Source organism: Homo sapiens, chromosome 16 (genome assembly GCF_000001405.40).
Source record: "Homo sapiens chromosome 16, GRCh38.p14 Primary Assembly".
In the NCBI taxonomy this organism is placed as follows: domain Eukaryota; kingdom Metazoa; phylum Chordata; class Mammalia; order Primates; family Hominidae; genus Homo; species Homo sapiens.
Window position 1 is genome coordinate 21,181,890 of NC_000016.10, and position 13,997 is coordinate 21,195,886.

General features: G+C 45.7%; 3 annotated features.

The window, feature by feature from the left end:
• Positions 7,082–7,171: an enhancer, noted in NCBI's record as "active region_10549". NCBI's record gives its function as "activates an Ori minimal core promoter by ATAC-STARR-seq in GM12878 lymphoblastoid cells {active_cell/tissue: GM12878}" and the evidence as "EXISTENCE:reporter gene assay evidence [ECO:0000049][PMID:35858748]".
• Positions 7,222–7,291: an enhancer, noted in NCBI's record as "active region_10550". NCBI's record gives its function as "activates an Ori minimal core promoter by ATAC-STARR-seq in GM12878 lymphoblastoid cells {active_cell/tissue: GM12878}" and the evidence as "EXISTENCE:reporter gene assay evidence [ECO:0000049][PMID:35858748]".
• Positions 13,116–13,265: an enhancer, noted in NCBI's record as "active region_10551". NCBI's record gives its function as "activates an Ori minimal core promoter by ATAC-STARR-seq in GM12878 lymphoblastoid cells {active_cell/tissue: GM12878}" and the evidence as "EXISTENCE:reporter gene assay evidence [ECO:0000049][PMID:35858748]".

Here is a 13,997-nt window from a genome sequence, read left to right on the forward strand (position 1 = left end):
GGTCCTTAGTAGTCCACCTTGCTACAACAAGTAAACAAAATATTAGACCAACTCCGCTGAAGATAAGTAAAAGGGTGGTAAGTAATTGGGAGAGCATGCTTTAGCCACAGCAATCAGAGATTTCTTCTATTTGAACCAAAACATGAGTTGTCACCATGCCAAGCACACAGGGAGGGTGTTCCTAGCAGAGGGCACAGTATCCCAAAGGCCCAGAGATGGGAAGAAGCTTAATGTGTTTAAGGGAAAAAAATGATGTCAGCATGGCTGGGCCTCATCATGCAGGACCTCATGGAGTGAGTTTACACCAGGGGTCCCCAACCAGTACCGGTCCTTGGCCTGTTAGGAACCAGGCCATACAGCAGGAGGTGAGCAGCAGGTGAGCAAGCATTGCTGCCTGAGCTTCACCTCCTGTCAGATCAGCAGTGGCATTAGATTCTCATAGGAACATGAACCCTCATGTGAACTGCACATGCAAGGGATCTAGGTTGCATGATCCTTATGAGAATCTAATGCCTGATGATCTGTCACTGTCTCCCGTCACCCCCAGTTGGGATTGTCTAGTTGTAGGAAAACAAGCTCAGGGCTCCCACTGATTCTACATTATGGTAAGTTGTGTAATTATTTCATTATGTATTACAATGTAATCATAATAGAAATAAGCTGCACGATAAATGGAATGCACTTGAATCATCCTGAAACCACCCCCCTACCCACGCCTCATCCATGGAAAAATTGTCTTCCACAAAACTTGTCCCTGGTGCCAAAAAGGTTGAGGACCACTGGTTTATGCCAAAGAGCAAAGGAAAGACAATGAAGAATCTTACATGGGAGAGTGACGTGATCAGACTTGGGTTTTTAAAGATCACTCCATGGCCAATGGATTTAAAGCAGGAAGGCTAGTTGGGAGGTCTATGGAGGCCCAAGAGCAGAGAGGATAATTGTGACTTAAAACTTACACTAGGCTGAGCACAGTGGCTCATGCCTGTAATCCCAGCACTTTGGGCGGCCAAGGATCACTTGGGGTCAGGAGTTCAAGACCAGCCTGGCCAACATGGTGAAACCCCGTCTCTACTAAAAATACAAAAATTAGCTGGGTGTGATGGCGGGCACCTGTAATTCCAGCTACTCAGGAGGCTGAAGCAGGCAAATCACTTGAACCTGGGAGGTGGAGATTGCAGTGATCTGAGATCGCACCACTGTACTCCAGCCTAGGCGACAGAGCGAGACTCTCTCTCAAAAAAAAAAAAAAAAAAAAAAAATTAGGGCAAATGTAATGGAGACCTTCCTCATTTTGAGGGCCAGCAGCACTTGGTGATGATGGAGAAGGAAAGGGGGACACAAGGTGGCACCTAGGTTTTTAGCTTGAGCCAGTAGTGGATAGTGACACTATTGTAGGAGTGAAGGACAAGCTTCCTCTCTACCCTCTGAAGGATCCCTGAAATGAACTGGCAATAGACAGATGAACAGGAGAAAAGGCATATTCAAATTTATTAACATGCACATGAACACAGGAGTTCCAAAAATATGAGACTCAAAGAAAGGCCAAATGATTGAAACTTACATAGAGGGAGATGGGGGAAATGTAGGCAACTTGAAGGATTGTAAATGATTTTTAGGGGAATTGAATGGACCCAAAGAGCAAACCACAATGAGATACCATCTGAAACCAGTCAGAATGGCTATTACTAAAAAGTCAAAAAATAACAGATGCTGGCGAGTTTGTGGAGAAAAGGGAATGCTTACACATTGCTGGTGGGAAAGTAAATTAGTTCAGTCACTGTGGAAAGCACTATCACAATAGCAAAAATGGAATCAAAAAATGTCCGTCAATGGTGGATAAAGAAAATGTGGTGCCATATACATCACAGAATACTACACAGTTATAAAAACGAATGAGATTGTGTCCTTTGCAGCAACATGGATACAGCTAGAAGCCATTATCCTAAGTGAACTAATGCAGGAACAGAAAACCAAACACCATATGTTCTCACATATAAGTGGGAGCTAAACATTGGGTACATATGGAAATAAAGATGGGACCAACAGACATTGGGGCCTACATGGAGGTGGAGGGTGGGAGGAGAGTGAAGATAAAAAAAACTATTGGGTACTATGCTTATTACCTGAATGATAATCTGTACACCAAACCCCTGTGACATGCAATTTACCCATGTAACAAACCTCCACATGTACTCCTGGAACTAAAATGAAAGTTAAAAAAAAAAAGCAGACAATAGTTTGTAAATTATTTTCTTTAGAAACTGAATGGGACAAGTTATGGGAAGGTGAGGGGCAGAACTGCACTGCAAACAAAGGTAGTCTTATTATGCAGATTAAGTCTTTTAGGTAATCTCTCAGAATTACTCTCGGCAAAATAGATGAAAAGCCCGAGCATGGTGACAACTTTTAGTCTCTTCTGCAGTGGTTAATTTTTTCTGGTTATTTTGGATGCTAATCCACCACGTTGACTTCTGATTAACCCCAGTCCCATGAATGCCTCCTGATTCCTACTTCACTGTTCCTAGTGTAAGAACATGTTGACCTTGATGTCATCACACAAATTATAGGCTATGATACATTCAGCATTCTTGCCTGTCCTGAAGGGTTGCCTTTAATTGGCTTGCTGGAGCAAGCATACCCTTTCCCTATGGTATATGCGTAGCCCTGGTGTGGGGAGTAACAGTGCAGAGAGCTACCTGTCCTGCCACCACCTAAGACCACACTTGTGTCTGTAAGTTCCTTCAATGAATCACCCAAAGTCAACACAATGGATCTGTCTGCCTCCTTCTTTGGTTCCTCGGCTCCCTCAGCATTTGGGAATCACTTTGCATATTCACAGAAATTAAGACAATTGCATTTCTTTTGGAAGAAATTTTCCTCGGTCAGATAAGGGAACTTCCAGAGAAAGCCTGATATGGTTAGGCTGCGTCCCCACCCAAATCTCATCTTGAATTATAGTTCCCATAATCACCATGTGTTGTGGGTGGGACCAGGTGGATATAATTGAATCATGGGGGGTGGTTTCTCGCATCCTGTTCTCCTGATAGTGAGTCAGTTCTCATGAGATTTGATGGTTTTACAAGGGACTTCCCCCTTCACTGGGCACTCATTCTCTCCTGCCGCCCTATGAAGAGGTGCCTTCCGCCTTGATTGTAAGTTTCCTGAGGCCTCCCCAGCCATGTGGAACTGTGAGTCAGTTAAACCTCTTCCTTTATAAACTACCCAGTGCCAGATATTTCTTCACAGCAGCCTGAGAACAGACTAATACAGAGCCCCTCCCTGCACTCAAGATGGCAGAAACAAGAGAAGGTTAGAAAATCCTTGGTTCTGAAGCAGTTTCTAAGGCCTTTCATTTTCCTTTAACTCAGAAGTGCTCTGCATGCCAAAGTAACAGACTTTGGGGTATCCTTGTCTGTGTCTCAATGGGGGCTGTGTGAAAATTCAACCCCTGCTTTGCTCATATTAAGTCAGATATGCCTCTTGGATACTAAGAGGATGTGTCAAGTAGACAGCTGGCTTAGAGGGTACGTTTGGGCTGGGGAGTATTTTTGGTGCTGAGAGCTTTACACAGCCTTCATTTGGGATGCTCTCCCAGAGAGTAGCCAGGAGATCATTTCATAGCATAGTTCTGATCACATAAACACCTTACTCCAACCTCTGCCAAGGGCAAAGTGCTTTCCCACAGCACTTAGAAGTGCTAACTCTTTCCCCTCATGGATCAATCCATGATCAAAGACCAATCCCAGCTGGGCACAATGATTTACACCTGTAATCATAGCACTTTGGGAGGCCGAGGCAGGTGGATCACCTGAGGTCAGGAGTTTGAGACCTGGCCAACACAGTGAATCCCCGTCTCTGCTAAAAATACAAAAATTAGCTGGGCATGGTGGCACATGCCTATAATCCCAGCTACCCGGAAGGCTGAGGCAGGAGAATCGCTGGAACCTGGGAGGCGAAGGCTACACTGAGCCAAGATCACGCCACTGCACTCCAGCCTGGGTGACAGAGGGAGACTCCCTCTCAAAAAAAAAAAAAAAGATCAATCCAAGCTTCTGCTTCCTGCTACTTCTTTATATGCCATCGGCCTCTGGATATGAGAGAGAAAACTAAAGTTCAAAGGACTCACCCAATTCAGCTAAGAAATGTGACATCTAAATCAAGGCTGTGCAGTGAGGTTATTCATTCAGGTTCTGTTCTTTACATGGTCTGGGCCTAACCTTCACCGATCAAATGAAGTGAAATAAGGTGCAGAACCCTAGCACAGTGGCTGACACCAAACAAGCCCATCAAGAATAATTGTCAAGGACGAGGCTCAGTGGCTCGTGCCTGTCATCTCAGCACTTTGGGAGGCCAAGGCGAGAGAATCACTTCAGCCCAGGAGTTCAAGAGCAGCCTGGGCAACATAATGAAACCTCGCCTCTACAAAAATGAAAAAATTAGCTGGGGATAGTGTTACATGCCTGTGGTCCCAGCTACTGAGGGACTTAGGCAGGAGGATCACTTGAGCCCAAGAGGTCAAGGCTGCAGTGAGCTACGATGGCACCACTGCACTCCACACTGGGGAACAATGAGACCTTGTCTCCAAAAAAAAAAACAAAGAAAAGTTGTCAAAATGCATGGCTACATGAGTCATTTAAAACTGAGTGAAACAGGAAGATGTAAAAGACCTGTTGTTAACCAAGCTGTGGAGGACCGTTAAGGACTTCGGGCTAAGGTCCTTACAAAGATATCCTTAGCCTTTTAGACACACAGCTCAATGTGTGGCCGATTGGAAAGGTAATTAATCCCCAGAGCATAAAAACGATGACTTTTTTACAGTTATAATGTTAATTTATCAGTATGTCCAGGTTTCTTGTTTGTTTATTTTTGAGCATTCGCCATGTGCTGGATGCTATTTTTTTTTTTTTTGAGACAGGGTCTCATTCTGTCACCCAAGCTGGAGTGCAGTGACATGATCATAGCTCACTGCAGCCTCGACCTCCCAGGCTCAGATAATCCTCCCACCTTAGCCTCCCGAGTAGCTGGGACCACTGGTGCCCACCATCATACTCAGCTAATTTTTGTATTTTTTGTAGAGACAGGGTTTCACCATGTTGCCCAGGTTGGTTTTGAGCTCCTGAGCTCAAGTGATCCTCCCGCCTCAGCCTCCTAAAGTGCTAGGATTACAGGCGTGAGCCACTGCGCCTGGCTGCGGGGGGCTATTTTAAGCCCAATACACAGCAATACATGTTTCCAGTGCGTCCTCACTACCTCCCATTTTAGAGATAAGGAAACCGAAAGATTGACAAGTTAAATTGCCTAAGGGCCCATAGAATTAGAAGTGGGATTCTAACTGCAGTTTGTCTAACTGCAAAAGACATCCTAGGCTGGGTGCAGTGGCTCATGCCTGTAATCCCAGCACTTTGGGAGACTGAGGCGGGTGGATCACCTGAGGTCAGGAGTTCAAGACCAGCCTGGCCAACATAGTGAAACCCTGTCTCCACTAAAAATACAAATATTGTTAGCTGGACATGCTGGCGGGCACCCGTAATCCCAGCTACTCGGGAGGTTGAGGCAAGAGGGTTCGCTTGAACCCAGGAGGCAAAGGTTGCAGTGAGTCAAGATCATGCCATTGCACTCCGGCCTGGATGACAAAGTGAGACCCCGTCTCAAAAATAAAACTAACTAACTAAATAAATAAATCTAGATCAGCAGTTCTCAGTTGGGAGTGATTGTTCCCCGCCCCCGCCCCCCGCCCCAACCCTCAACCAGCACCCCCAGGGGACATTTGGCAATGCCTGGAGGCATTTTTTTTGTTTGAGACAGGGTCTTGCTTGGTCGCCCAAACTGGAGTGCAGTGTCAACCACAGCTCTCTTGACCTCCCAAGCTCAAATGATGCTCCTGTCTCAGCCTCCTGCATAGCAGGAACTACAGATGTGTGGCGCCATGCCTAGCTTTTTTTTTTTTTTTTTTTTTTTTTCAGTAGAGATGGGGTCTCACTGTGTTGCCAGGGCTGGTATCAAACTCCTGGGCTCAAGTGATTCTCCTGCCTTGGCGTCCCAAAGTGCTAGAGGCATTTTTTGTTATCACGATATGCGTGCCTGTGTTGGGTGCTGCTGGCATGTAATGAGTAGGGGCCAAGGATGCTGCTCAACATTTTACCAAGCCCAGGACAGGCCTCCACAACCAAGAATTATCTGGGCCCAAATGTCAACAGTGCCAGTCTTGACAAACCCTAACCTCAACAAATAATAAGAATTAAGAGAATTAGGCCAAGCAAGAGCACAGCTGGTGGAGAGGGGGTCAAAATTGACCAGGTCTGCCCCAGAGTGACCAGTGGCAATCGTGGCATCATGGAAACACACAAGTTCACAGTTGTGAAATGGTTCAGGTTGTCAAAGAGTTTTCGTATCAGTTACCATCCTTACCTTTCATAACAGTCCAGAGACGTTATTCTGCTCTCATTCCCATCCCCTACTCTTCAGCTGATGGAAGAGGAAAGCAGGGTTAATGGATGAGTCACCTGTGGAAGTTCTCAGAGTCAGCAAATGACTAAGCCACAGAACCCGGTTATCGGCCTCCTAGCCCACGTGCAGATCCTTTCCTCCCCCTTCTGCTGCCTTTTTTGTTAAAGCAGAAGTGACAACGACGAAACGTTCGGAAGATGGACTACAGTGTCCCATGGCAGTTGGGAGTCAGCCATCCAGGGGGTCCATACACTGCAGAGGGCATGCTCCGTGTATGGACCTCCAGGCTGGAGAGGACATGCTCCGTGTATGGGCCTCCAGCAGCACACATTGTTTGTTCATGTTTCCAAAACTCAGGAGGAGACTCAAGCCCCAGCCACATGCTCTAGGAGTCTCTATGCCCCTGTTAGGAGCTCCCGTGCTGGAGTTTCAATCCCCAGCTGGAAACCTTAGAAAAACCATCAGAAGGAAACGCAACTGTTTCCTAATGAAAGCGTTTCATCTCTGAGCCAGTAGAGGGAGCGCACATCCAGGCCATCCGAAGCTGGCTCAGCCGAGACTTCAATAGCACCGAGGGCTGGAAGAAGCATTCAACGCGCGATCCTTGAACTTGAATGAGCCTATGCATAGGAGCCTGTTAAAAGCCAAATTCGCGGGCGGATCACGAGGTCAGGAGATCCAGACCATCCTGGCTAACACAGTGAAACCCCGTCTCTACTAACAATACAAAAAAAAAAAATTAGCCGGGTGTGGTGGCGGGCGCCTGTAGTACCAGCTACACGGGAGGCTGAGGCAGGAGAATGGCGTGAACCCGGGAGGCGGAGCTTGTAGTGAGCTGAGATCGCGCCACTGCACTCCAGCCTGGGCGACAGGTGACAGAGCAAGACTCCGTCTCAAAAGAAAAAAAAAAAAAAAAAAAAGGCCAGATTCTGGCCGGGTGCGGTGGCTCACACTTGTAATCCCAGCTACTCAGGAGGCTGAGGCAGGAGACTTGCTTGAACCGGGGAGGCGGAGGTTGCAGTGAGCCAAGATTGCGCCATTGCACTCCAGCCTGGGTGACGAGAGTGAGACTCTGTCAATAAATAAATAAATAAGGCAGATTCTGAGTCTGTAGGTCTGCATCAGGACCTGAGTTCCTGCATTGCTTATCAGCCACCAGATGAAGCCTTCCACCGGCCACACCTTGAGTAGCAAGGTAATAGATAACTTCTCCCACCCTCTCCCATAGATGGTGGACCTGAGGCCCAGGGAGTTTAGACTGCTTACTAGAGGCCAAACAGAAAGACTGCAGTGCTGGGGCTAGAACCCATGACTCCTACAGCTGGTGCTCACTTCATAGCATCTTCCCTGCCCCTCTGACCCTGAAACAGGATTCAGGGAAGAGGATCCCTAAGTGTGGGTGAGGAGTAAGAGACTATACTATCTGCTTTGAATCAAGCTTCTTTATACTCTATTTTTGGTCAAGTTACTTCCCTTGCAGAAGTACCAATAGAAATTCAAAGATGAACACAAGCAGACTCCAATTCTTTTGGGCCTGAGGGAGCCAAAGTAAAATAGATTTGTTAGTGAAGTCCCTCTTATTTTTGGTTAGTACAAATTTGGCAAGTCATCCAAAGAAAAGCTTACATATAACTTGGTATGTTTTTATGAATGCAAATTATAGCCATAGACTTTCTCCTAAGAATGAAGTTTCTTAGCTTGAATCAGTTTAGATGAAAAATGCCTCCCTTAAAAAATAAGAGCTCCTAAACTCTCACTAAACATGAAATGCAGAGGCAAGTGGTTCTAGGGTTGATTTGGGGAACACAATGAAGTTATCAAGGATTTAGGCTTTCCATTTTTTCGCTCCATCGTTCTCAGGGTGTCTTTAGGGTTATTTCCTCATAGTTACAACATGGCTGCCATAGCTCCGGGAATCACATCACATAATCATATCCAAAAGCAGGTAGAAAAGGGGTTAGCTGCACATACCTTTTTTTAAATAAGGAAAAAGAAGCCCCCTCTCAACTTCCCCTTAAATCTCATTGAACAGAACTGTATTACATGCTCACCTCTAAACAGAAGGGAAATGGGACGTTATCTTGGCTATCTCATGCCAAGCAGGATTGTCCCCCAGGGTGTGCTGTGCAAACAAAGTCCAGGTTCTCTTAGCAAGGAAGAAGGGGATGAGGTGGGAAGGAAAAAGAAAGGGCAAGAAAATCCCTTTTAATTAAGCCCTACACTATCTGCCCCAGTACACTTGTGTTTTCGCTGTATTTATTCACAAAGTAAGGGTCTTCATGTGCTGTGTGAGCAAAGGTCAGGACCAAGGAGGATTTAGTTAAATCTGGAATCTCAGTCAGGGGTTCATACTCTTGAGATAAGGAAAAGTAACCAATGCTGCCTAACAGCCCAGCACCCACACTGCAGTCCCTAGACTTAGCAGATGGAACTTGCTATAATGAGGACCATATGTATTCATTTGCTAAGGCTGCCATAGAAAGTACCACAAACTGGGTGGCTTACACAACAGACATTTATTTTCTCACAATCCTGGAAGCTGGGAGTCTAAGATCAAGATGCCAAGCAGGCTTGGTTTCTCCTTGGCCTGTAGAGAGCTGTCTTCTCCCTGTGTCTTCTGCCTGTGTCTGAATTTCCTCTTCTTATAAGGATAGCAATCCTATTGGACTAGGGCTCATCCTATTAACTCATGTTAATGCAATTACCTCTTTTTTTTTTTTTTTTTTTTTTTAGGCAGAGTCTCACTCTGTTGCCCAGACTGGGGTGCAGTGGCGTGATCTTGGCTCACTGCAACCTCCATCTCCCAGGTTCAAGTGATTCTCCTGCCTCAGCCTCCTGAGTAGCTGGGACTACAGGCCTGCACCACCATGCCCGGCTAGTTTTTTTTTTTTTTTTTTTTTTTAGTAGAGACAGGGTTTCACCACGTTGGCCAGGCTGGTCTCGAACTCCTGACCTCAGGTGATCCACTCACCTCAGCCTCCCAAAGTGCTGGGATTACAGGCGTGAGCTGCTGCACTTAGCCACAATTATCTCTTTAAAGACCCTTCCTCCAGCCATATTTTGAGATTCTGATGTTGGGACTTCAACATATCGATTTGCGGGTCACACAATTCAGTCCTCCAATTCAGCGAGCATACTTCTATTTCCTCTGCAAGTCTGATGTGCACCTTGCTTTAAAAGAGATACGATTATCATGCTTCTCATCCTAATTTTCAAAGGGCTTTCTATCATGTGTGAATCTCAGGTTCCAGTGAATGCCTTCTTCGTGTCTGTGGATGTCATCATATGAGGGTATTTTTTGACCTGTTTCTGTGACGTATTCATAGAGTTCCTGTAATCGAACAGTCATGGATCAGCATTCAGAATATATAAAGAAACCCTAAAAATCAATAGGAAAAGGACTTTTAAAATCTAGTATAAATTAAACAAAGGCTATAAACAGACAATTCAGAGGAAGGGACTGCTTCCTGCTGTGCAGATGGTCATCTTGCGGTATCCTCACATGGCCGAGAGCAGAGAGAGGAAGCTCACTCTCCTTTCTCTTCCTTTAAGGGCACTTATCCCCTTTATGAGGGCACCATCCTCATGACTTAATTAATTCCCAAAGCCCCACCTCCAAATATATCACACTGGGGGTAAGGACTTCAAAAACATATACACTGGGGGTAAGAACTTCATGTGAACTTGTTGTGGGGGGACACAATTGAGCCCACAACACCGAGAATAAGCCTGAGCACACACCTTGTGCCACAGGCTGCATGTTCTACCTTTCCGCAACCCCTGTGCTGCCCACGATGAGACAGCTTCCCACTCAACACATCATCACTTTCAAACCAGAAGCAATGTTGTGCTGTGGATTTTCTGGTTATTGACACAGTGGTGGGCACTATCAGAGGTAATTCACATCTTTGCATCCAATGGGAGAGAAACTAAATTCCCTGTTGACTTAAAAGGGAGAAACTGAGGCAGAATTAAAAGTAGAGAGTTTTTTGGGGCCAAGTTTGAGGATTGCAACCCCGGAGCATGGATTCAAGTTGACATGAGTTATAGACTCCTATTAGCAGCATTTACAAGTGGATTTCTAAAGGCAAAAAAGGGGGGACAGGGAGTGAGCTGATGCACAGTTCTTTGTCAGGAATTCTCATTGTTTTTCAGAAATAACATTGATGTGTGATTGGCTATACATTGTTAAGCTATAGGGTGTGGTTATATGTCTGGTGCAGCATTATTAGGTTAACTTAAAGCTACTTGTGGCAATAGTAAGCAGTTTCAAGAGATGGATACTTAGCTCAAGGGAGGAGTAGGATGTGATGACTGTCTCATCTTTTTTCCTTTTTTTTTTTCTTTTGAGATGGAGTCTCACTCTGTTGCCAGGCTGGAGTGCAGTGACATGATCTTGGCTCACTGCAACCTCTGCCTCCCAGGTTCAAGCAATTCTCCTGTCTCAGCCTCCTGAGTAGCTGGGACTACAGGTGTGCGCCACCATGCCCAGCTAATTTTTGTATTTTTAGTAGAGACAGGGTTTCACCATGTTGTCAGGATGGTCTCGATCTCTTGACCTCGTGATCTGCCCACCTTGGCCTCCCGAAGTGTTGGGATTACAGGTGTGACCCACGGCACCCAGCTGACTATCTCATCTTACTGTCTCTGGCCCTGATAGTTTAGAAGGACTTATATTTCTCAGATCAAAGTTCTTTTCTTTTCTCACCCCTGTCTCAGGACCTGTATTCTCAGCAATGCCTCTTCTTTCAACTACGATACATCACTGTTTGGAAATGGAACTAGTTGCAACTTAAGTGCCAAGTTCCTGAAGCTATAAACTGCTCCCCATGCTTTTAGATCCTATGTGCAAGCAACAGTGTGTGTTTGTAATGTGTTGTCTGTGATGAAGTGTGGTAGGCTCTGCCTTCACTAGCACAGTGATTTCTATCCAGGGATATGTGTCAGAGTCATCTGAGGAGCATGGATTAGTTTTCTTTCACTGCTTAGACAAATTATTACAAGTTTAGTGGGTTAAAACAACATAGATTTATTCTGCTACAATTCTGAAGGTCAGAAGTTTGAAATCACTTTCACTGGACTAAAGCCAAGGTGTCGGTGGAGCTGGTTCCTTCTGGAGGATCTAGGGGAGGATCCATTTCCTTGCATTTTCCAGCCTCTAGTGTTCCCCTGTATCCCATGGCTTATAGCCCTTTCTCCATCTCAAAGTGCATCACTCCAACCTCTGCTTCCATCATTGTACTGCTTTCTCCCCATAGTCAAAACTCCCTCTTACAAGCACACATGCAGTTATATGTATGGCCTACCTGGATAATTTAGATAATTTCCCCATCTCACCGTTTTACCTTAATTATGACTGCAAAGTCCCTTTTGCCATATTAGGGAAAATTCACAAGTCCCAGAGGTTAGCACGTGAATATCTTTGGGGCCATGATTTAGCCTCCTATAGAGCCTAAACATGCTTAGACTCCACTCCCTAAAGATTCTAGTTTAGTAGATGGTGTCTAAGTTTTTGTTTTTTGTTTTGTTTTGAAATGGAGTCTACCTCTGTCGTCCAGGCTGGAGTGCAGTGGCATAATCTTGGCTAACTACAACTTCCACCTCCTGGGTTCGTGATTCTCCTGCCTCAACCTCCCAAATAGCTGGGATTACAGGCACCTGCCACCATGCCCACCTAATTTTTTGTATTTTTAGTAGAAACGGTGTTTCACCATGTTGACCAGGCTGGTCTCAAACTCCTGACCTCAGGTGATCCGCCTGCCTCAGCCTCCCAAAGTGCTGGGATTACAGGAGTGAGCCACCATGCCCAGCTGATAGTGTCTAGTTTTGTAGGTGGTGTCTCCCTAAAGATTTTAGTTTGGTAGATGGTGTCTAGGCCAGAGGTCTGTACAATCAGGTGTACATTCTACCACATATGCACTTGATTACATATGCCTTGGTATATAGCACACAGACTTATTCAAGTCACAGTTATTGTCCATAATGTTATCTGAGTTTTTATTTAGAGTTAGAACAGTGCTATTTTCTTGATGTTGAGATACTCCAATGCTGACTGGGCAGTGCCTACATCAATACAACGGTTATCTTGTTGAACCCTCACACGCTTCCAAATTAGGTTGTGTTCCCTTTTTACAGATGCGGAAGCAGGCTCAGAGATTGTTCTATCTGCCCGAGGCCACACAGCCAGGGAGACGTAGATCCCGAACCCAAACCCAACTCTTGCTCTAGAGCCTGCGCATCCCACAGAACTTCCTAATGCAGAACAGGGCAGGGGAAAGTAGTACATTACATTACAGGTGCCTTCCCAGGGCACACAAGTCTGTTTTCAACTCCTGCAACCTCCACCATCAATCAGAACTGCTCAAACTATTAGAACCCCAAAGCTCCATCATTCTACTCTTGACACCTGTATGACAATTACAGCCCATCACTACGTGATAAAGGAGATTGCAAGCACACTAACGTGGTTGAAGCAGCAGTCTCTCAGGATTTAAGCTCGACTCTCTTCCCACACAGTTCCTGTCTGAGGAGGCTGCCTCCCCCATATATAGTAGGATGCCTACTTTCAGAAGGCAAGAACACGACTTTAGTCAACTGCTCCCAGGCTACCATGGCAACAAGTGTTCATCCCGGCAGCTGCTCCACACCAGCTTGGCTTTCCACTCTCAAAGTTCTGCTTTAGCATTTTTGGCAAACACATCAGAACCAAGTCACGCTGTGGGCTGCCTTGAGACCCAGGGGACTTTGATTCCCAATATGACTCTATACAAGTGGACCAACTTGCAGCTGAGAGGCTCTAGCTCTGAAATCAAGGGGCTGTGACATCCTGGACAAGCTTCTTTAGGGCTCAAGTTGCTCATCTGTAAAATGTGCACTTTTAAGCCATGTTTTTCAAGTTGTGGGTAGTGACTCAGTATTTTAATTTCCTATTGTTGCTGTAACAAGTTTGTTTCATGCCGTTAAGCTATCTCACAATTCTGGAGGTCAGAAGTCTAAAGTGGTACAGCAGAGCTGTACTCTTTCTAGAGGCTCTATGGGAAGATATTTTCTTGTTCCCCTACTAGAGGCGGCCTGTGTTTTCTGTGACTCTCTATCATTCCAATTTCTGCTTCCATTGATACATCCTATTCTGACCTTGTTTTTATTTTGAGACAGAGTTTCACTCTTCTTGCTCAGGCTGGAGTGCAATGTCGCAATCTCGGCTCACTGCAACCTCCAACTCCCGAGTTCAAGCAATTCTCCTGCCTCAGCCTCCCATGTATCTGGGATTACAGGCGCCCGCCACCATGCCCGGCTAATTTTTTGTATTTTTAGTAGAGATGGTGTTTCACCATGTTGGCCAGGCTGGTCTCGCACTCCTGACCTCAGGTGATCCACATGCCTCAGCCTCCCAAAGTGCTGGGATCACCGGCATGAGCCACCGTGCCCTGCTGACCTTCTTGTTTTATAGGGACACTTGTGATTGGGCCCACCGGGATGATCTTACCATGTCAAGACCCTTAGTCACATCTGCAGAGTCCATGTTGCCATGTAAAACTAATATTCACAGG